This window comes from Homo sapiens, chromosome 9 (assembly GCF_000001405.40).
Source record: "Homo sapiens chromosome 9, GRCh38.p14 Primary Assembly".
Classification (NCBI taxonomy): domain Eukaryota; kingdom Metazoa; phylum Chordata; class Mammalia; order Primates; family Hominidae; genus Homo; species Homo sapiens.
The window spans coordinates 3,621,038-3,643,348 of NC_000009.12; the positions used below are offsets into that span (position 1 = coordinate 3,621,038).

At 39.0% G+C, this 22,311-nt stretch overlaps 1 long non-coding RNA gene across 1 annotated transcript in view; it reads left to right on the top strand.

The window, feature by feature from the left end:
- Positions 1-18,405, top strand: part of LOC124902110 (uncharacterized) — a 112,958-nt gene extending 94,553 nt beyond the window's left edge. Inside the window, exons 7-8 of the long non-coding RNA XR_007061398.1 lie at positions 9,901-12,428; positions 12,814-18,405. This is a non-coding gene — a long non-coding RNA (uncharacterized LOC124902110). The remainder of the gene's footprint in view (positions 1-9,900; positions 12,429-12,813) is intronic.
- The last annotated feature ends 3,906 nt before the right edge of the window (positions 18,406-22,311 follow it).

Genomic DNA, 22,311 nt, shown 5'->3' on the forward strand with positions numbered 1-22,311 from the left:
TCTTCCTGGTTTAGTCTTGAGAGGGTGTATTTGTCCAGGAGTTTATCCATTTCTTCAAGATTTCCTAGTTTATTTGCATAGAGGTGTTTATGGTATTCTCTGATGGTAGTTTGTTTTTCTGTGGGATCAGTGGTGATCTCCCCTTTACCATTTTTTATTGCATCTATTTTATTCTTCTCTCTTTTCTTCTTTATTAGTCTGGCTAGTGGTCTATCAATTTTGTTAACCTTTTCAAAAAAAAAACAGTTTCTGGATTCATTGATTTTTTTGAAGTGTTTTTTGTGTTTCTACCTACTTCAGTTCTGCTCTGATCTTAGTTATTTCTTGTCTTCTGCTACCTTTTGAATTTGTTTGCTCTTGCTTCTCTTGTTCTTTAAATTGTGATGTTAGGGTGTCTATTTTAGATCTTTCCTACTTTCTCCTATGGGCATTTAGCGCTATAAAATTCCCTCTAAACACTGCTTTAGCTGTGTCCCAGAGATTCTGGTACATTGTGTCTTTGTTGTCATTGGTTTCAAAGAACTTATTTATTTCTGCCTTAATTTCGTTATTTACCCAGTAGTCATTCAGGAGCAGGTTGTTCAGTTTCCATGTAGTTGTGCAGTTTAGAATGAGTTTCTTAATCCTGAGTTCTAATTTGATTGCACTGTGGTCTGAGAGACTGTTATGATTTCTGTTCCTTTGCGTTTGGTGAGGAGTGTTTTACTTCCAATTATGTGGCTGATTTTAGAATAAGTGGTATTTGCTGCTGAGAAGAATGTATATTCTGTTGATTTGGGGTGGGGAGTTCTGTAGATGTCTATTAGGTCCACTTGGCCCAGGGCTGAGTTCAAGTCCTGAATATCCTTATTAATTTTCTGTCTTGATGATCTGTCTAATATTGACAGTGGGGTGTTAAAGTCTCCCACTATTATTGTGTAGGAGTCTAAGTCTCTTTGTAGGTCTCTAAGAACTTGGTTTATGAATCTGGGTGCTCCTGTATTGGGTGCATATATATTTAGGATAGTTACTGCTTCTTGTTGCATTGATCCCTTTACCATTATGTAATGCCCTTCTTTGTCTTTTTTGATCTTTGTTGGTTTAAAGTCTGTTTTATCAGAGGCTAGGATTGCAATCCCTGTTTCTTTTTGCTTTCCATTTGCTTGGCAAATATTCCTCCATCCCTTTATTTTGAGCCTATGTGTGTCTTTGCACGTGAGATGGGTGGGTCTCCCGAATACAGCACACTGATGGGTCTTGACTCTTTATCCAATTTTCCAGTGTGTGTCTTTTAATTGGGGGATTTAGCCCGTTTACATTTAAGGGTAATATTGTTATGTGTGAATCTGATCCTGTCATTATAATGCTAGCTCATTATTTTGCCCATTAGTTGTTGCAGTTTCTTCATAGTGTTGATATTCTTTACATTTTGGTTTGTTTTTTCAGTGCTAGTACCAGTTTTTCCTTTCCATATTTAATGCCTCCTTCAGGAGCTCTTGTAAGCCAGGCCTGGTGGTGACAAAATTCCTCAGCATTTGTTTGTCTGGAAAGGATTTTATTTCTCCTACACTTATGAAGCTAAGTTTGGCTACATATGAAATTCTGGGTTGAAAATTCCTTTCTTTAAGAATGTTGAATATTGTCTCCCACTCTCTTCTAGCTTAGCATTTCTGCAGAGAGATCCGCTCTTAGTCTGATGTGCTTCCTTTTGTGGGTAACCCAACCATTCTCTCTGTCTGCCCTTAACATTTTTTCCTTCATTTCAACCTTGGTGAATCTGATGATTATGTGTCTTGGGGTTGCTCTTCTCGAAGAATATCTCTGTGGTGTTCTCTGTATTTCCTGAACTTGAATGTTGGCCTGTCTTGCTAGGTTGGGGAATTTCTCCTGGATAATACCTGAAGTGTGTTTTCCAACATGGTTCCATTCTCCCTGTCACTTTCAGTTAAACCAATCAAATGTAGGTTTGGTCTTTTCAGATAGTCCCATATTTCTTGGAGGCTATGTTCATTCCTTTTTGTTCTTTTTTCTCTAATCTTGTCTCCACACTGTATTTCATTAAGTTGATCTTCAATCTCTGGTGTCATTTCTTCCACTTGATAATTCAGCTATTGATAATCATGTATGCTTCACGAAGTTCTCATGCTGTGTTTTTCAACTCCATCTGGTCATTTATTTTCTTCTCTAAACTGGTTATTCTAGTTAGCAATTCCTCTAACCTTTCATCAAAGTTCTTAGCTTCCTTGCATTGGGTTAGAACATGCTCCTTTAGCTTGGAGGAGTTTGTTATTGCCCACCTTCTGAAGCCTACTTCTGACAATTGATCAAACTCATTCTCCATCCAATTTCGTACCCTTGCTGGCAAGGAGTTGTGATCCTTTGGAGGAGAAGAGGCATTCTGTTTTTTGGAATTTTCAGCCTGTTTGTGCTGGTTTTTCCTCATCTTCTTGGATTTATCTACCTTTGGTCTTTGCTTTTGGTGACCTTCAGATGGAGTTTTTGCGTGGTCATCCTTTTTGTTGATGTTGATGCTATTTCTTTCTGTTTGTTAGTTTTTCTTCTAACAGTCAGGCCCCTCTTCTGCAGGTCTGCTGGAGTTTTCTGGGGGTCCACTCCAGATCTTGTTTACCTGGGTATCACCAGCAGAGGCTGCAGAACAGCAAAGATTCCTGCCTGCTCCTTCCTCTGGAAGCTTCGTTCCAGAGGGACGCCTGCCAGATGCCAGCTGGATCTCTCCTGTATGGGGTGTCTGTTGACCCCTGCTGGGAGGTGTCTCCTTGTCAGGAGGCACTGGGGTCAGGGACTCACTTGAGGAGGCAGTCTGTTCCTTAGCAGAGCTCAAGCGCTGTGCTGGGATATCCATTGCTCTCTTCAGAGCTGGCAGGCAGGAATGTTTAAATCTGCTGAAGCTGCACCCACAGCTGCCCCTTCCCCCAGGTGCTCTGTCTCAGGGAGATGAGAGTTTCGACTATATGCTCTGACTGGAGCTGCTGCCTTTCTTTCAGAGATGCCCTGCCCAGAGAGGAGGAATCTAGAGAGGCAGTCTGGCTATAGTGGCTTTGCTGAGCTGTGGTGGGCTCTGCCCAGTCCAAACTTCCAGGTGGTTTTGTTTACACTATGAGGGGAAGACCGCCTACTCAAGCCTCAGTAATGGTAGATGCCCCTACTCCCACCGAGCTCGAGCATCCCAGGTCCACTTCAGACTGCTGTGCTGGCAGCGAGAATTTCAAGCCAGTGGATTTTAGCTTGCTGGGCTCTGTCAGAGTGGGATCTGCTGAGCAAGACCACTTGGCTCCCTGCCTTCAGCCTCCTTTCCACTGGTAAGGGTCTATCTTGCTGGTGTTCCAGGAGCCACTGGAATATGAAAAAACAAACAAACAAACAAACAAAAAAACTCCTGTGGTTAACTTGGTGTCTGCCCAAACAGCCACCTAGTTTTATGCTTGAAACCCAGGGCCTTTGTGGTGTAGGCACCTGAGGGAATCTCCTGGTCTGCAGGTTGTGAAGACTGTGGGAAAAGTGTAGTATCTGGGCCGGATAGCACCATTCCTCACTGCACAGTTCCTCACAGCTTCCCTTGGCTAGGGATAGGATTTCCTCGACCTCTTGCACTTCCCGGGTGAGGCGACACCTCACCCTGCTTCTGCTCGCCCTCTGTGGGCTGTACCACCTGTCTAACCAGCCCCAATGAGATGAACCGGGTACCTCAGTTGGAAATGCAGAAATCACTTGCCTTCTGTGTTGGTCTTGCTGGGAGCTGCAGACAGGAGCTGTTGCTATTAGGCCATCTTGCCCAGGAAACCAAGGTTAGTATTGTTATGTGTGAATTTGATCTGTCATCATGGTGTTAGCTGGTTATTTTGCACACTTGCTAATGTAGTTGCTTCATAGTGTCACTGATCTGTGTACTTCAGTGTGTTTTTATAGTGGCTGGTAACAGGTTTTCCTTTTCATATTTTGTGCTTCCTCCAGGAGCTTTTGCAAGGCAGGGCTGTTGGTGACAAATTCCCTCAGCATTTGCTTGTCTGAAAAGGATCTTATTTCTTTGCTTAGGAGGCTTAGTTTGGCTAGATATAAAATTCTGAGTTGAAAATTATTTTCTTTAAGAATGTTGAATATTGGCTCCTAATCTCTTCTGACTTGTAGGGTTTCCACTGAGATGTCTGCTGCTAGTCTGATGGACTTCCCTTGGTAGGTGATCTGGCCTTTCTCTCTGGCTGCCCTTAACATTTTTTCTTTTATTTCGACCTTGGAGAATCTGATGATTATGTGTCTTGAGTTGATTTTCTTGTGGAGTATCTTATTGGGGTTATCTGCATTTCCTGTATCTGAATGTTGGCCTGTCTTGCTAGGTTGGGGAAGTTCTCCTGGTTAATATCCTGAGGTATGTTTTCCAACTTGGTTCCATTCTCCTCATCTCTTTCAGGTACCCCAGTCAATTGTAGGTTCATTCTCTTCACATAATCCCATATTTCTTGCAGGTTTTGTTCATTCCTTTTCATTCATTTTTCCCTATTCTTGTCTGCCTGTCTTATTTCAGAAAGGTAGTCTTCCAGCTCTGATATTCTTTCCTATGCTTAGTCTATTCTGCTATTGATACTTGTGATTGCATTGTACTCATGTTGTGTTTTTCAGCTCCATCAAGTTGGTTACATTCCTCTCTAAACTGGCTGTTCTGGCTATTTGTTCATGTATTGTTTTCTGTGATTTTTGGCTTCTTTGCATTGGGTTAGAACATGCTCCTTTAGCTCTCAGCGAAGTTCATTATTACTCACCTTCTGAGGCTTACTTCTGTCAATAAGTCATCTCGGCCTCAGCCCAGTTCTGCGCCCTTGTTGGAAAGGTGTTGTGGTCATTTAGAGGAGAAGAGGAGCTCTGGTTTTTTGAGTTTTCAGCATTTTTTTGGTTGATTCTTTCTCATGTTTGTGGGCTTATCTACTTTTGATATTTGAGGTTGCTGACCTTTGAATGGGATTTTGTGGGATCTTTCTTTGTGGATATTGCTGGGATTTTGTTTGTTTTTCTTTTAATAGTCAGGCCACTCTTCCGCAGGGCTGCTGTGGTTTGCTGGCGGTCTGCTCCAGACCCTAGTTGCCTTGGTTTTCCCCATACCTGGAGGTATCACCAGTGAAGGCTATGAAACAGCAAAGATGGCAGCCTGCTCCTTCCTCTGGAAGCTCCATCCTGGGAGGGTGCTGACCTATTGCTGGTTTGAGCATGCCCGTAGTAGGTGGCTGGAGACACCTATTGGGAGGTCTCACCCAGTCAGGAGGAACAGGATCAGGAACATGCTTAAAGAATCAGTCTGGCTGCTTTTTGGTAGAGCAGGTGTGCTGCACTGAGGGGGACCCTTACTCATCCAGACCATTTGGGTTCTCCACAGCTAGCAGGCTGGAACTGCTGAGTCTACCAAACTACAGAGATGGCAGCCACCCCTTACCCCATGAGCTCCATCCCAAGGAGAAATCAGAGCTGTCTGTATAACCCTGGCTGAAGTGGCTGAAGCCCTTGCAGGGAGGTCCCTCCAAGTAAGGAGGAATGGATCAGGGCCCTGCTTAAAGAAACAGTCTGGCTAACAGCTGACAAGGCAATTGTGCTGTGTTGTGGGGGACCCTTCCTCGTCTGGACAGCTAGGATTCTCCAGTGCTGGCAGGCTGAAATGGCTGAGTCTACTGACCTACAGAGATGGCAGTCACCCCTCCCCTGGGAACTTGGTCCTGCGTCAGTCAGACTCCAGCCTGTGCCACTGGCTGGCTGGAATTCCAAGCCAGTGGGTCTTAATTTGTGAGGTGCTGTGAAAGTGGGACCCACAGAACAATGCTGATTGGCTCCCTAGATTCAGCCCTCTTCCTAGGGATATGAACAGACAGATCTCCCACCTTGCTGGGGATCCTGGGGCTGAAATATGTAAAATTCCTGGGTCTCTCTGTGTGCCTGAGCAGCTGCTCTGCCTAGACTCCACACAGCTCTGTTTATCAGACCCAAGGCCCTGAGGGCATGGGCTCGTGAGGGGATTTCCTGATCCACAGGTTGCAAGGATCCACGGGAGAAGCATGATTTCCTGGGCAGGGTCATACAATCACTTACTGCTTCATACAGTCACTACCTGGCTGGGGTGGGGGTTCCTTTGCCTCTGTGCTGCTCCCAAGTAGGCTATCTGTTGCCCCACCCTGCTTTTCTTCGTTCTTCGTGGGTTGTTTGCCTAGTCAGTCCCAGTGCAAGAACCTGGATATTTCAGTTGAAGGTGCTGACTGAATTCACTTGCTCCTTTCATTCCTCTCTGTAAGTGCCTTGGACCGCAGTTGCATCTAATCGGCCGTCTTGGCCCTGACCCACTAATTTTCTTAGTGTGTTTTTTGTTGAACAGAGATTTTTATTTTGATGAAGTCCAAACTTATCAGGTTTTATGTTTTTGTTTGTTTGTTTCTTGGCTAGTCCTTTTTCTGTCCTGTGAAAAAATCTTGGCCTATCTCGAGGTTAAACTTATTTTTTTCCTGTCTTCTTCTAGTCTTATAACTTACATTTCAGATTATTATCTATTTTGATCTTTTTCTTGTAAAAAGGAAAAATATGGATGAAGATTGATTTTTTTTTTCCATAGAGGTATTCAATTGCTTTAGCACTGTTTGTTGAAAAGACTATTCTTTCTCCTATTGAATTGCTTTGCTACCCTTGGAGAAAATCAGTTAACTCTTTAAGTGTGGATCTATATCTGAGCTCTCTTCTCTTACGCATTAAACCATTTGCTACTGTTCTACAGGTTTCTGAGCTTCTATTTATTTTTCATCAATTGTCTTTCTGTCTTGTCTTCAGATTGGACTTTTTTTATTAATCTGTCTTAAAGTCCCATGATATTTTCTTCTTTGGTGTCTAGTCTGCTTTCAAGCCCATCCAGTGAATTTTTAATTTCAGATATTGTATTTTTCCATTCCGAAGTCTTCATTTGTTTGTTCTAGATAGTTTCCATTTCTCTATTGAGATTTCCTAGTGGTTCCTTTCATTATGTTTATGTTTTACTTTGTATTCTTAAACATACATGCCTTAATGCTACATTCTAATACATAATTTCTGTGATTTGTAAGTCTCATTATTATGGATAGATTTTCCTCTGTATTGTAGGCCACCTTTTCCTGCTTATTTATATATGTAGTAATTTTGTATTGAATGCCATCAATTTTGTTCTCTTTTGTAAAGAGGATTGAACTTTGTTATGGCAGGTAGTTAATTTACTTGTGCATCCACTTGATCCTTTAGAGGACTATTTATAAGCTTTAATATGGCAGGTCTAGTCTGGGGCTGGAATAGCCTACTTATTAGATTTGGCCTTTCTTGTGTGTCAATTGCATGTCTGCAGGTTTATTTAAGTGTCTCACTTGAGCTAGGCAGAAACCCAACATTTCCAAGCCCTGTGCAAGCTCTGGAATCCCCTTTCAACTCATAGTTTTTCTTGGCCTTCCACTGCCTTATTTTGTACTTGCATTGCTTAATCTTTGGCCAAAGACTCAAGGGAACCAAATTCAGATTTCTAGATTTTCTTCTTTTTACAGTTCTCTCCTTTTCCCCATGCTTCATATTTCAGCCACTTCTGCAGCTATTATTTTTCTCTTTATTTTATTTTGTCTTATAATAAAATTGTGTGGATTCAATTACGATCCTTCTCCATTGCTTAATTTAAGTAAAAATAGTTTTTCTATACATTCTGAATGTAGGAATGGATTAGGTTAACATTTTTGCTGGTGTGATCTAGGACTGTCTTTGCTATTTTTTCTGGAAGTGATAAAATATATATTCTCTTACTTTTCAAAGTCTGCTGCCTCCTGTCCTCCTTCCCATTTTATCCAGATCTTCTCTTTTCCCCACCCACTACTGTCCCTGTCTTGCCCAATGTGGGTTATATTCCAAGCAGTTTCTGCTAAGTGTGACCTTGTCCCAATAGGAGCCTCAGATGTCATAGTTTTTAAAGTCCTTAGGGCCATACAATCCTAACAGTTCAGAACTTACGATAACTGTCTTATCCTGTCCCTGTGAACTGGACTCTAAAAGTGTACATTTTAGATTCTGTTCTCAGATTGTCCCCTGGCAATTTCCAGTGAGTACCTGTTGGTGATTTTGAGGTTCTTCTATTCTCAGGGCCATCTTGTTGCCTTTCCTCAGCTTTCTCTTGCACAGACACTGATGGATCTTATAAAATGGGCTATTTGTCACCACTTGTTTATATTTTAGGTTCTTGAGAATATTTTATTGCCTAGTTTAGTTGTAGATATTGTGCTTGAGTTTTTGCTTTCATTATCCTACTTGTTCTTTCTGTTTTATTAATGATTCAGGGAGATTCACTGCCAATACTGCCAGCCTAAAATATTCCTTTATTTCTTACTAAACATTATGTCATCTTTGTCATGAAGAGGAAGACGTACTTCAATTCATGCATTTCTTAAACTTTAAAAATCACTAATGTAGCATTAATTGATTTAAAAATTCTACACAGGATTAGGGATAAAAATTGTTTACTTAGAGTGCTGACTAAAAATTATAAATGCACATTCTGTAAAAGGGCTTGGATTTGTATAGTGAAGAATTAACTTTACCCAAAGAGAGCTCTGGCTTTTGCTTTTGGCTACTGGGAGGAGATCTCTAGGCCCCAGGAATGTCCTGCTTGATGTGAATGTTTTTGTTTGCCTGGGAGCTTTTACCAGTGAACAGTCCGACAGTGTGATTTATGATGAAGATTTTGGAACATACTACCTCAGCTCTAACATCCAGAGGAACTAGAGGCTAAAGGCATTAGCCTAAGCCTCCAGGATGGGCTGGAGCCTAAAGATCAGCCTCATGAGCAGTACATGCTCAAGCTCCAGTAAAACTCTGGACACCAAAGGCTCAAATGAGATTTCCTGATGACAGTACTCTGTGTATTGTCAGGTATAAACTGGCTGCGAGGGTAATGCATCCCTGAAGATGATGGAAGTTGTGTGTTTGGACCTTTTCATACCTTGCTCTATGTGACTCTATATGACTCTCCCTTTCGTTGGTTCTGATGTGTATCTTTTTGCTATAACACAATTGTCCTCACAAGTATAGCGCCTTCTGGGGTTCTGTGAGTTTTTCTAGTGAATTATCAAAACTGAGGGGGTAGTGGGAACCCCTGACTTTGTAGCCAACTGATCAGAAGTAAAGGAGGCTTGGTGCTATGGTTTGAATGTGTCCCCTCCAAAACTCAGGTGTTGGCAATGTGATGTGATAGTATTAATAGGTAGAGTCTTTAAGAGGTGATTAGGCCACGAGGGTTCCTCCCTTGTGAATGCGATTAAGGCCCCTGTAAAAGCAACTTCACTCATTGTTCAGTTGGTTTGCCCATTCACCTCTGCCATGTGAGGACAGTGTTCCTCCCCTCCAGAGGATGTAGCAACAAGATGCCATCTTGAAAGCAGAAGAGTAGCCCATACCAGACAACCAAACAGCCCAAGCCTTGAAGTTGAAATTCCTGGAGCCCAGTGAAAATAAATATCTATTTTTTATAAATTACCTAGTCTCAGATATTTTGTTAGAGCAGCACAAAATGGACTGCAACAACTGGGGACCCCAGACTTGTGGCTGGTGTATAAAGTGAAGGCATGCTTGTGGAGGACTGTGCCCTTTACCTATGAAGTTTGGCCCAACTCTCCCAGGCAGGAGGAATCATGGCATTTCATGAAATGGTTCGGTATCAATATACTACATAAATAAGCACAGATTTATTACAGAGCAACACAATTAATTAAGAAAGTGCACACTAAAATGGTATGGTATTATTGGAAGTAGAAATATGCAAGAATGAGAGAGAATTAAAACCACATAGGAATTGAGGTAGGATTTATTGCTAGTTTGATAACATTGGTGCTATGACAATAGACTGTTCAAATTCTTCCCTGCCACTTATCCCCACAGGGTTCATGATGTATCTCTAACAATAAGGAGCAGTAGAAAATGGGGAATCAAATAATAATCAACTGCTACCGTAATGCAGATCTGAGGTAAATAAGAGGGTCATTAGGTCAGCAACTAAATAGCTGCCTAGAAATAGGATGAGAGGGGAGGAGGCAGGTCTTGTTTACTCTGTTTAGCATGTGGAAAAAAGAAAGAAGAAAGTACAATAGTAAAAGGAGAGCCTGGGCAAACTGATGTGTGCCTATAGTCCCAGCTACTTGGGAGGTTGAGGTGGGTGGATTGCTTGAGCCCAGGAATTGGGGTCCAGCCTGGTCAACATAGTGAGACCCCGTCTCTTAAAAAAAGTAAAGGGATACAATTAGATTCAAGAGAAGGGTTTACATTTCATCACTGATGTGGGGGGATTATTTTTCTCTTTCCTATTAAACTGAACAAAGGAAAAAAATTCTCCCCTTTCTGCTGGCAGTTATCTAGCAGATAACAATTTTATGACAAGCAGTGAAGCAAAGCTGAGACATGGAAAGAACCTGAATCCTTGGTGACATGATTGAGTTGCTGACTCAACCAGTTATGAAGCCCATTCATCTCTGGACTTCTTGTTATGTGAATTAAGAAACGTTTTTATTGTTTGGAATCAAAGTCAAGGAATACATATCCTGTACCCATGAATTTTAAGTTATTGTCAACCCATTCATTAGTAATCATAGCCAGTCTTTTTCTTGGTCCACTGAGTTATGTTTTCCTCTAAATAGAGTTCTCTTTTCCCTCTTTGGCAAGGTGGCAGGTCACAGCCAGACCTACTGTACTAAAAACTCAAGCAGACTCAATGATATAATAAGAGCTAGGATATGGAAGCATATATGCTCTGGCACAGTACAGATTTTCTTTTTCTTTTTTCTTTTCTTTTTTTTATTTTTATTTTTATTTATTTATTTTTTTTTTTTGAGACAGAGTCTCACCTGTTGCCCAGGCTGGAGTGCAGTGGCGTGATCTCAGCTCACTGCAACTTCCACCTCCCAGGATCAAGCAATTCTCCTGCCTCAGCCTCCCAAGTAGCTGGGATTACAGGTGCCTGCCACCATGCCCAGCAATTTTTTTTGTATTTTTAGTAAAGACGGGGTTTCGCCATGTTGGCTAGGCTGGTCTCAAACTCCTGACCTCAGGTGATCCACCCACCTTGGCCTCCCAAAGCACAGATTTTCCCATATGAAAATAATGTGCCTCCTAACCAGCCCCAGTAGCATAAAAGATACCAACTGGTGGGTCCACGTCTACCAGCCTGGAAGATTTTATTTCATTTGGAGCCACACTCATCAATAAACTTCAGGTGTACTGCCATAAAAAATATTAGGAGGTACCAGAGAGGCATCTACTAACTTGCATGCTTCATCTCATATAATTTTGCTGGTTTGGTAATTTACAAAGTGAAAGTCACTTTGGACTAAATCCAAGTTGTCATTCTTATCAATATTTGAACTTGGAACATGTGTTCTGTTTTAGCGCTTTGCTTTTTTACTAACGAAGTTAGTGGCTGTGGGTGTGGAGGATGGCTGCATGATTCTCAAGGCAGGTATTCTTTTTGTTCTGATATACTTCAAAAGACACATGGCTTATCTTTGTACCATATCCAACACTGTTTTAGTCTTCAGTTTTAGGATTGGTTATTTTCTACCTAAAGGAATGGGACTGAGCACAGGGATAGAAATAAAAGAAATAGGAAGCAGGGATGAGCAGTAAGAGATGTTCCAATGGTATACTTCTTTATCAGAACTATTCTAATATTTTGTTAAATATGCTATACCAGGATTCAATCCACCTAACTGGGTGATGTAAACTGTTCCTGGGTGGAGGAAAAAAGCTGAAGTCCACAATTCAGTGACTAGTCCTAAAACCTTTACTTCCCTCACAGAGAATCAGACCCATATTTACTTCTCCCTTTCCCCCAGAAGGTATTTCTATCGATCCCAATATGAAGATTGCAAAGGTAAGGACCCCCACTCAGTTTGCATCTCTTGGAATTTGGCTATATTACTGAGATTTATTAGGATTTTTTTTTTTTTTTTACTTACTAGTATGCTTTCTGAGATGTTATAAGATCAGGCACTATTTCTGTTGACTTTGCCATTCTACCGAAGATCTTTATATTTTCTTATTATTCTAACATTTCAATTGAGGAGGATAGACTTAAAGACTAATAACCATGACAGTTTCAGCCTCTGATATTTCTAGAGGCAAATATTTCCTTATTACTTTGTGAGAAAAACCTTTCGTTAATGGGTGTCTTTAATTACAAGAAACTTATTCCCTGTATTGCGTTAATAGTTGCCTTCCCAAAACTTCCCTCTGGAACAATGCATAATAAATCTACTTCATTTTCCAGAGGACTAGATTTAAATGTATAAAGAGTTATGTATTCTTCTTTCTGGGCATTATGAACATATCTAGTAACTTTATGTGTTCCTTTGAATACTTCTAGGATTTAAAAGTTTATAGACATCATCTAGATAACTTCATAATCACACAAGGAGGTAAGTGAGGCTCAAAACAGTTGATGAGGGAAAGCTCTACTTTAAATGCCAATTAATTAATGTGGGAGAAATGACAGAATTAGGACAATAGCATTTCACAAATTCTATTTAACTTATTGATTCAGACAAGATTTATCAAGGTTAAAATCCTTAGGTAAATGGATGTTGGGACACTGGACCTTCATTTTGTGCCCAGCTGATATTACACAGAATAATTTCTAATCACAAGAGATAAAATAAAATTACACAATAGCAGGTTCAGATTGTCGTTACTCCAGAGAATGTCAATCTTATCAAATTAATGGTAAATGTACTAGAAATTCTGTGTCTTCTGATGTGATAAAACATGAAGTACACAATATCATCTATGATATTCTTTTCACAGTGTTTCACCTGAATTCATCAAGCCTTTAAAATCACTTCCACAGGAGATGAAGTAACAGGACACAATTGAACAAATTCTTAAAAGATAGAATATTCCAGGGACCAACTGGCCTTTGGTTTTCAAAATTCATTTTTAAAAAAAGACTGTTAAAAGATTAAACAACAGGCACACACACACACAATTCGAAAGATATGCACTAAGGTGTTAACAATGGCAATCTCTGGATGGTGGTATGTGACATTCTTTTTTTCTTTTGTCTATATTTTTTATTTTTCTACAATGCACATGTATTGTTTCTCTAAGTATCATTAAGAAAATTAATAGTCAACCTGGCAAAATAGTTTGCCCAATCTGTATGAGATGTTTTTCAGACTCCCACCATATTTGATGTGTTCCCATGGTTGAACTCTTGTTCGCTATTGTCCTCCCTGAATTGTGAAGCCTGCTATTTGGCAGTATGCCTCAGATACAATCTTACTTACCTGAGGTAAAATTTCTGACCTGGCCATTTTAAAGATTCTTAATAATGTTCAATTATAAAGGCAATTGAAGACTACACTGCCTTTTTGGAAGTTCAATAACATGGTTAGCTGTTTAGAATATAGTCTGTTGACTATTTAGAATCGATGTTAAGAACATAGGCTCTGGAGATCTCAGGAATATTGCTGAAACTTATTTAAACCTTAATTTTCTTATCTGCAAAGTGAAGAAAATACCAGAACCTATTTCAAAGGGTTGTTGTAAAGGTTAAATGAGATAACACAGCAAAATACTTGAGTATAATGCTTAGCTCACAGTATATAAAATAAATTTGAGCAATTATAATAATTATTATCGTGTTCATATAAAATATCAGAATAAACATTGTATCATTTATACTCCCTCCAATACCTCAAAATTAATTTGACTAAAAGTGTTATATTTAGCCAGCTTCTTGGTGAAATATCTTTTAATCAAAAGAATAGGACTAAATAAGTAATTTTCTTAATCTGGTAACTATAGATAGCACTGTATCTGTTTTTTAATTCCATAACAAATTCTTTAAGTAACTCATTAACATTAAATCTTTCGAGTGTTTAGGACCTGTGCGGTCCCAAAAAGCACCCACTTAAGTGGAATAACCCCAAGAACATAGGATAAAGTTTCTGGGATTTTCATAGTACATTGACATTCCTTGAGAATACACAACATTTATTGAGGTACCTGAATAACTGAAGGCCCCGAGGAGCTAATCAGAACCACACAATCTACTCTGTGTAGGGTGAATATATTCACTACTAGCTAGTGGAATCATGGTCCTCAAATGCAGGAGGTGATAATATCAGAATTTTATGAGAACATCCATTAAACTGAACACATAGACAGTTATCTATCTGAGAGGTAAAGTGATGGAGAGTAAGTTTAAAATATTTGATGTCCCTCCAAACCCCCCAGTAGCCCAAGAACTGAAAAATAGAAGCTGAATAACTTTATGGACCTGCCTGCTTCTGCTGTGCCACTCTGCAGCAGAACTTTAAAGCAAAAAATTTCTTGGAGTTTTACACTGGATATATTAATGAAATCACTATTTTTGTTGCATATTAAACAAGATTCCTTCCACTGCAAGTACAGAAACTCAAGAAATTTAAACAATAATGAAGTGTATTGACTCAACACTGAGTCTAGAAGTAGAACAGACTTCAGAGTTGGCTTAGTCTGGCAAGCACTAGCTTTCTTTCCCAAAGCTGGTTCTTAGGCTCTGTTCTCCTCTGTTGGCTTCACAAAATGGCAGTCCCAGCTTCACTGGTGCGTAACTTCTTCCAACAGCTCTCACTTAAAGGTAAAGAAACATTTTCCAGAAACTCTCAACAAGTTTTCCTTGACGTCACTAGCCAGTACTGTGTCTTATTCCTCATTCCTGAACCAATCATTAGCAAAGGAATAAGATTACTCCTAAGACACATAGCTTCTGGTAAGGGAGCCGTGGATGTATAAATGAAAATGGGGTGCTCTTGGGAAGAGGGAAATAAATATTGGGTGGGTAATCAACAAGGCGTCATCAAAAAACTTTCTGGGGGTTGAATGAAGCAGGAAAATTTTTTTTTCAGAATAGTTTTTCATACAATACTTGGCTTTTAAACAGTTGAGAAATAAAAGAATCCACATCTTTTCTCATTTGATTTCCCCCTTGCTGAAATTACAATAATTTTTTTTTTTTTGAGATGGAGTCTCTGTCACCCAGGCTGGAGTTCAGTGGCACAATCTCAGCTCACTGCAACCTCTGCCTCCTGGGTTCAAGCGATTCTCCTGCCTCAGCCTCCCCAGTAGCTGGGATTACAAGCACCCGCCATCACGCCTGGCTAATTTTTGTATTTTTAGTACAGATGGGGTTTCACCATATTGGCCAGGTTGGTCTCAAACTCCTGACCTCAGGTGATCCGCCCACCTTGGCCTCCCAAAATGCTGGGATTACAGGCGTGAGCCACTGCACCCTGCCTACAGTAATAATTTTGAGTGAGAATAACAATATTTTGTGTATAGACTATCTCCAGCCAGTTTGTAGAATTCTCAAACGGCTCTGAACACTTTCAGGTTGTTTGGAGTTTGGAAAAACCTAAGTGGTGATTTTCCCTGAAATTTTAGGATGTGAAATTTTTTTAAAGTGGAAATGCAATCTGTATATAATAACGTAGACTTCAAAATGTTGTTATGTAACAGGTATTTGATGTTTGACAAGTTTTTGACACTCTTTAATGAGCCAGTTTACATCTTTAATCTTATAAATAAATTTACCAAGTACAAATCTGAGCAATAAGTATGGTAAGTTCGGCATTTTATCTTTAAAGGGGTGGAATGGCATCTAAATTCAGAAAACCACTTAATTTTCTTAAAGTGAAAACATATCCACACGCCTTAGTGATTTCAGTCTCAGTCCTTTTTCTTTGACTTTCTTTTTTTTTTAAACCAAATTAACCACCATTTTTTTTCTATTATTAGGGATTTCTAAGTTATTGTTTATGGAGAAATGACTTGAGCTCAGGAGACCTGGATACAAGTCTTAAACTAGTGATGAGGTCTTAGGAAAGCCATTTTGCCTCTCCAAATTATAGTTTTCTTTTCAGCTTGTTAGACTCAATGAATCATTTATTCATTCATTTAATGAACATCTACTGACTGCCTATTGCGGTTTGGAGAATTAAAAAATAATAATAATAACACTTTGTCCTTGCTTTCAAGGAGTTCATAGTAAAGTGACACAGGTGGTACATAGCACAAGGAACTTTTCTGAGTTAAGTACAGCGATGGAGATGTGAATGGGGTCTTTTGGAAATATCTAGAAGGGATACTTAAGTCAACTTCAGGTTGGAGATGAATGAAGGGAAAGTTTCCCTGGAGATCATGATATTTGAGCTGAGGATGAATAGGCATTAGCTAGCTAAAGGCTGGTTGGGGAGGAGTTGAAAAAATTCACAAAGGGAAGATAGTATGAACAAAGGTATGAAGACACAGCCTGGTATAAAGGGATATTGTAAACAATTCATGTTATTGGAGAAAAAATTGTGAAGCAGAGAGTAGGAAAGAAGAATGTTGGAGAGGTGTGCAGGAACCAGAAGGCTTTGTGAGACTTTTTTCCCGGTAGGTGATAATTCAATAAAAGATGTTATTTAAGGGTCAGAGGGAAACACATCAAGTTTTCCTGATATCTCATTCTAGCCTTCTTTAATTTGATTTAATTTATCTTTAACATTTAAAACAGTATGAAGGAAGTGGTCTATAAGGTTTATCCTATAATATTCTAGCTTCCCAACCTCACTACCATGAAATCATTTTTAGTATGGTGCTAGGATATTTATTGAATATGAGCTTTTTTTTCCCTTTACTTAACTGAATGAAAAAGAGCTGTGAAGCTTTTTTTGTTTCCAGGAAACACAATTGTTTTGAATTAGTAGAGTGTTTGTCGAAGGAGTTCAGCAAAGCCCCACTATTACCCTGGAGTATGTAACTCTCAGTATAGTTTTCTTTCTATTTTCATAAGGTTAACTGTTTCTCCATATAAAACAAGCTTAATAACTAGCAGGGTGATCCTTTGCCTTTGCATCCTCTGTTACATATAAAACTTTTGATATTAAAAATGATTTTTCTCCTCCATCATTTCCTTCTCCTCCTTCCCTTCCTCCCCCTCCTCCTTCTTTCACTTATAAAAGTCTCCTCTTAAGATAAAAATTCTAGAAATGAGATTCATTAAGCTATTATCAGATAATGGGAGCATAAGTTTTCTGACCATTAGATGCCCATTGAAAAGGGAAATATGCTTACAGTCCAAGGTCAAGTGACCAGAGGTGGCGAAGGGCCTGTATGTCTGAGAAGAAAGGGCCAAATATACACTCTGCCTCTTCACTGGAGAGAGCCACTTTCAACCAACATGGTTTTTTTCTGGTAAAGCAAGCCAATGTTAAGAACTACATAATGCTTAACAAAATAATTGAAGGGTCTATTATTCAAAAGGGGAAAGACTAAAGTCACTAAATAGAAGAACATTTCCTCAATATGACTGTAGGCAATATTCTCTTAGAAAATAATGAAATGTTTGTCTTGGTGATATGGTTACCTTTCTTAAGTGAATAGGAGAAGTATTTTGCATCTCTCTGTGATGGGGAAACTGACCTGAAATTGGAGCATTCATAGTCATCTTCATCCTTGATTATGGGATGAGTGTCCACATCCCAACTCTTTCTCTTTTTCTTGAATGGACAGATAAGAGATTCCGTAAGTCCTGGCAAAGAGGGGAACACATCTCTCTCAGAACTTCCCAGGAGGGAAGGTGGAGTCACTGAGGAACTTGAAGGTTTGATTATGGAGGTTTGAACAAAGAGAGAGAAGGGTGAGGGCTGTTTATAAGGTAGTGAGGGAGAAAGCATAAGTTAGGAGCATCTTTCTCATGAGGCTTAAGTCCGGAAGTGCTTTCCCAGGTGCTGTATAAATGAATGGTGAAGTCAAAGAGAATTACTGTAACTTCTATTCCTCCTCATACCCTACAAGGCTGTCTTTGTGGATGTGCAACCTACATAGTTGCACAGAACACATTATCAGAAAGGTCCTGCACTTGGTTTAATATTCTACTCTTACTGTCTTGAAATTGTTACTTTTTTCTTTGAATTTATATTTTTTAAATGAAGTGCAATAAGATGATGGAGCCTGAACACAGGATATGGCAATAAGCATGTGTGCTGCCATTTTTGCCACCCCACTCCCACATAATGTTCAGTATGCCCCATAAGCACAGAATTTCTCTGGACCCATGATGGGTGGGAATGCAGTGAGACTCAAAGCAAGTACAAGGTGAGTTTGTTACATCTATGTCTGACTAAGCAGAAACTGACAGCTGCAAGAGGCCAGTGTTTGAACTAGAACGTGCTTTGAATGCAGAAATAAGGCAATGGTGAAGAGACAACCTATGTAATAGGAAAAAGTATTTGCAAACCATACAATTGATAAGGGATTAATATCAAAAATATATAAGGGACTCAAGAATGCAAACAATTCAATAGCAAGAAAACAAATAACCCAATTTAAAAATGGGCAAAGGATCTGAATAAACATTTAAAAAAACCATACATATGGCAAACAGGTATATGCAAAAAAGCTCAATGTCATTAATCATCAGAGAAATGCAAATTAAAATCGCAGAGATATCCCCTCACACCTATCAGAACAGCTACTATCAGAAAGATGAAAGACAAGTGTTGATAAGGATGTGCAGAATAGGGAACCTTTGTACACTGTTCGGGGGAATGTAAATTAGTGCAGCCATTATGGAAAACAGTTTGGAAGTCTCTCAAAAAATTATAAATAGAATTACCTAAACCCACTACTGGATATATATCCAAAAAATTGAAATCAGTACATTAAAGAGATGTCTGCATGCCCATGTGCATTGCACCTTTATTCACAATAGCCAATATGTGGAATCAACCTAAGTGTCCATCAACAGATAAATGGATAAAGAAAACCTGGTATATATACACAATGGAATACTATTCAGCCTTTAAAAAGAAGGAAATCCTGCCATTTGTGACAATATGGATGAATCTGAAGGACATTATGTTAAGTAAAATAAGCCAGGCACAGAAAGACCAATACTGCATGATCTCACTTACATGTGGAATACAAAAAAGTCAAACTCATCGAAGCACGGAGTAGAAAGGTGGTTACCAGGTGCTGGAAGTGTGAGGGATGGTGCGAGATGTTGGTTAAAGAATATTCGCATTTCAGTTAGACAGGAGGAATACGTTCAATAGATCTATTGTACAACATGGTGACTATAGTTAATAACGACGTATTGTATATTTCAAAATTGCTAATAGAGCAGATTTTAAGTGTTCTCACCACTAATAGTAACTATTTTATATGTTTGTTGGCTGCATAAATGTCTTCTTTTGAGAAGTGTCTGTTCATATCCTTTGCCCACTTTTTGATGGGGCTGTTTTTTTCTTGTAAATTTGTTGAAGTTCCTCATAGATTCTGGATATTAGCCCTTTGTCAGATGGATAGATTGCAAAAATTCTCTCACATTCTGTAGGTTGCCTGTTCACTCTGATGAACCTTTCTTTTGCTTTGCAGAAGTTCTTTAGTTTAATTAGATCCCATTTGTCAATTTTGGCTTTTTTTGCAATTGCTATTTGTGTTTTAGTCATGAAGTCGTTGCCCTTGCCTATGTCCTGAATGGTATTGCCTATGTTTTCTTCTAGTGTTTTTATGGTTTTAGGTTTTACATTGAAGTCGTTAATCCATCTTGAGTTAATTTTTGTATAAGGTATAAGGAAGGGGTCCAGTTTTAGTTTCCTGCATATGGCTACCCAGTTTCCCAGCACCATTTATTAAATAGGGAATCCTTTCCACATTGCTTGTTTTTGTCAGGTTTATCAAAGATCAGATAGTTGTAGATGTGTGGTGTTATTTCTGAGGTCTCCATTCTGTTCCATTGGTGTATATATCTGTTTTGGTACCAGTACCATGCTGTTTTGGTTACTGTAGCCTTGTGGTATAGTTTGAAGTCAGGTAGCATAATGACTCCAGTTTCGTTGTTTTTGCTTATGATTGTCTAGGCTATCTGGGCTCTTTTTTGGTTCCATATGAAATTTAAAGTAGTTTTTCTAATTCTGCAAAGAAAGTCAGTGGGAGCTTCATGGGCATAGCATTTAATATAGACGTTACTTTGGGCGGTATGGCCATTTTCACAACATTGATTTTTCCTATCCATGAGGATGGAATGTTTTTCCATTTGTTTGTGTCCTTTCTTATTTCCTTGAGCAGTGGTTTGTAGTTCTCCTTGAAGAAGTCCTCATCACTGGTCATTAGAGAAATGCAAATCAAAACCAGAGTGAGACACCATCTCATGCCAGTTAGAATGGTGACTATTAAAAAGTCTGGAAACAAGAGATGCTGGTGAGGCTACCAAGAAATAGGAATGCTTTTACACTTTTGGTGGTAGTGTAAATTAGTTCAACCATTATGGAAGACAGTGTGGTGATTCTTCAAGGATTAGAACCAGAAATGCCATTTGACCCAGCAATCCCATTACTGGATCTATACTCAAAGGATTATAAATTATTCTACTATAAAGACACATGCACACTTATGTTTATTGCAGTACTATTTACAATAGCCAAGACTTGGAACCAACCCAAATGCCCATCAGTGATAGACTGGATAAAGAAAATGTGGCACATATACACCATGGAATTCTATGCAGCCATAAAAAAGAATGAGTTCATGTCCTTTGCAGGGACATGGATGAAGCTGGAAGCCATCATTCTCAGCAAACTGCAAACTAACACAGGAACAGAAAACCAAACACTGCATGTTCTCACTTATAAGTGGGAGTTGAATAATGAGTACACATGGACACAGGGAGGGGAACATCACTCACCAGGGCCTGTCAGGGGGTGTGGGACAAGGGGAGGGAGAGCATTAGGACAAATACCTAATGCATGTGGGGCTTAAAACCTAGATGATGGGTTGATGGGTGCAGTAAACCACCATAGCATATGTATACCTATGTAACAAACCTGCATGTTCTGCACACGTACCCCAGAACTTAAAGTAAAATTAAAAAAATAAATAAATAAAAATAGGCTGGGCACAGTGGCTCACACTTGTAATCCCAGGACTTTGGGAGGCCAAGGTGGGCGGATCACGAGGTCAGGAGATCAAGACCATCCTGGCCAACATGGTGAAACCCTGTCTGTACTAAAAAATACAAAAATTAGCTGGGCGTGGTGGCACACGCCTGTAGTCCCAGCTACTCGAGAGGCTGAGGCAGGAGAATCACTTGAAACTGGGAAGCAGAAGTTGTAGTGAGCAAAAATCGTGCCACTGCACTCCAGCCTGGCGACAGAGCGAGACTCCATCTCAAAAAAATAAACAAATAAATAAATAAAAATAAAAAATAAAAAATTAAACTAAATTAAATAAAAAGAAAATAAATAAATAGTAACTATTTTAGGTAATACATTTGTTAATTAACTTGATTTAGTCATTCCACAATGTATACACATTTCAAAACATGATGTTGCACACTACAAATATATACAATTTGTCAATAAAATAAAATAAATGAATAAAAGAAAAATGATAATCAGAAAAAAATAATTTTTTTAAAAGATGGCAATGGTGTTAAGAAACATGAACTCAGGTACACTTTCATACCCTTTCTTACTCATGTTATTTCCCTATACTAGCTAACAGCTTACACTAAAACAATGATAATAAGTCCTTCCTTACTCATCAGCAACTTTAAGGTAGGGAGTGTTGATAGAATGTGTGCAGATCAAGAAGTAAAATAAAAACAGTTGAGTTAGTTTTATGTAGTTATTCTGCCATTCTGGCAAGAACAATATACATATGTAGGTATGAGCTATGAAATATGAATTATGGAATTTCAATGATTCCACATGCAAGGTGAATGATCTTATATTTGCATTTAAAACTGCCATTGCACAATATAAAGATGAATGGTAAAATTCATGCTAAAAATTTTAAACTCTAATTTTTTTTTACTTAGAACAACATTAAATAGCAAATGAAAGCGCACCATGACAATTTGAGAGAGTCACTACCAAAGAAAGAAAAGAAGCTTTATGTTTTAATAGCATTAATGTCACCCTTTTCCTGCTTTTTGAGCAAGGGGCCCCATATTTTCTTTTTTTATGGGTTAACTAATATTATTATTATTACTTTTTTAGATTATACTTTAATGGGTTAACTAATATTATTATTATTACTTTTTTAGATTATACTTTAAGTTCTGGGGTACATGTGCAGAACGTGCTGGTTTGTTACATAAGTATACACGTGCCATGGTGGTTTGCTGCACCCATCGACCCGTCATCTACATTGGGTATTTCTCCTAATGCAAGGGGCCCCATATTTTCATTTTGCATTGGACTCCGCAAATTATGTAGCCCTCCCAAAATATGCCCTACCTCTTGAAACCTACCTGAATGTTCAATAGTAATT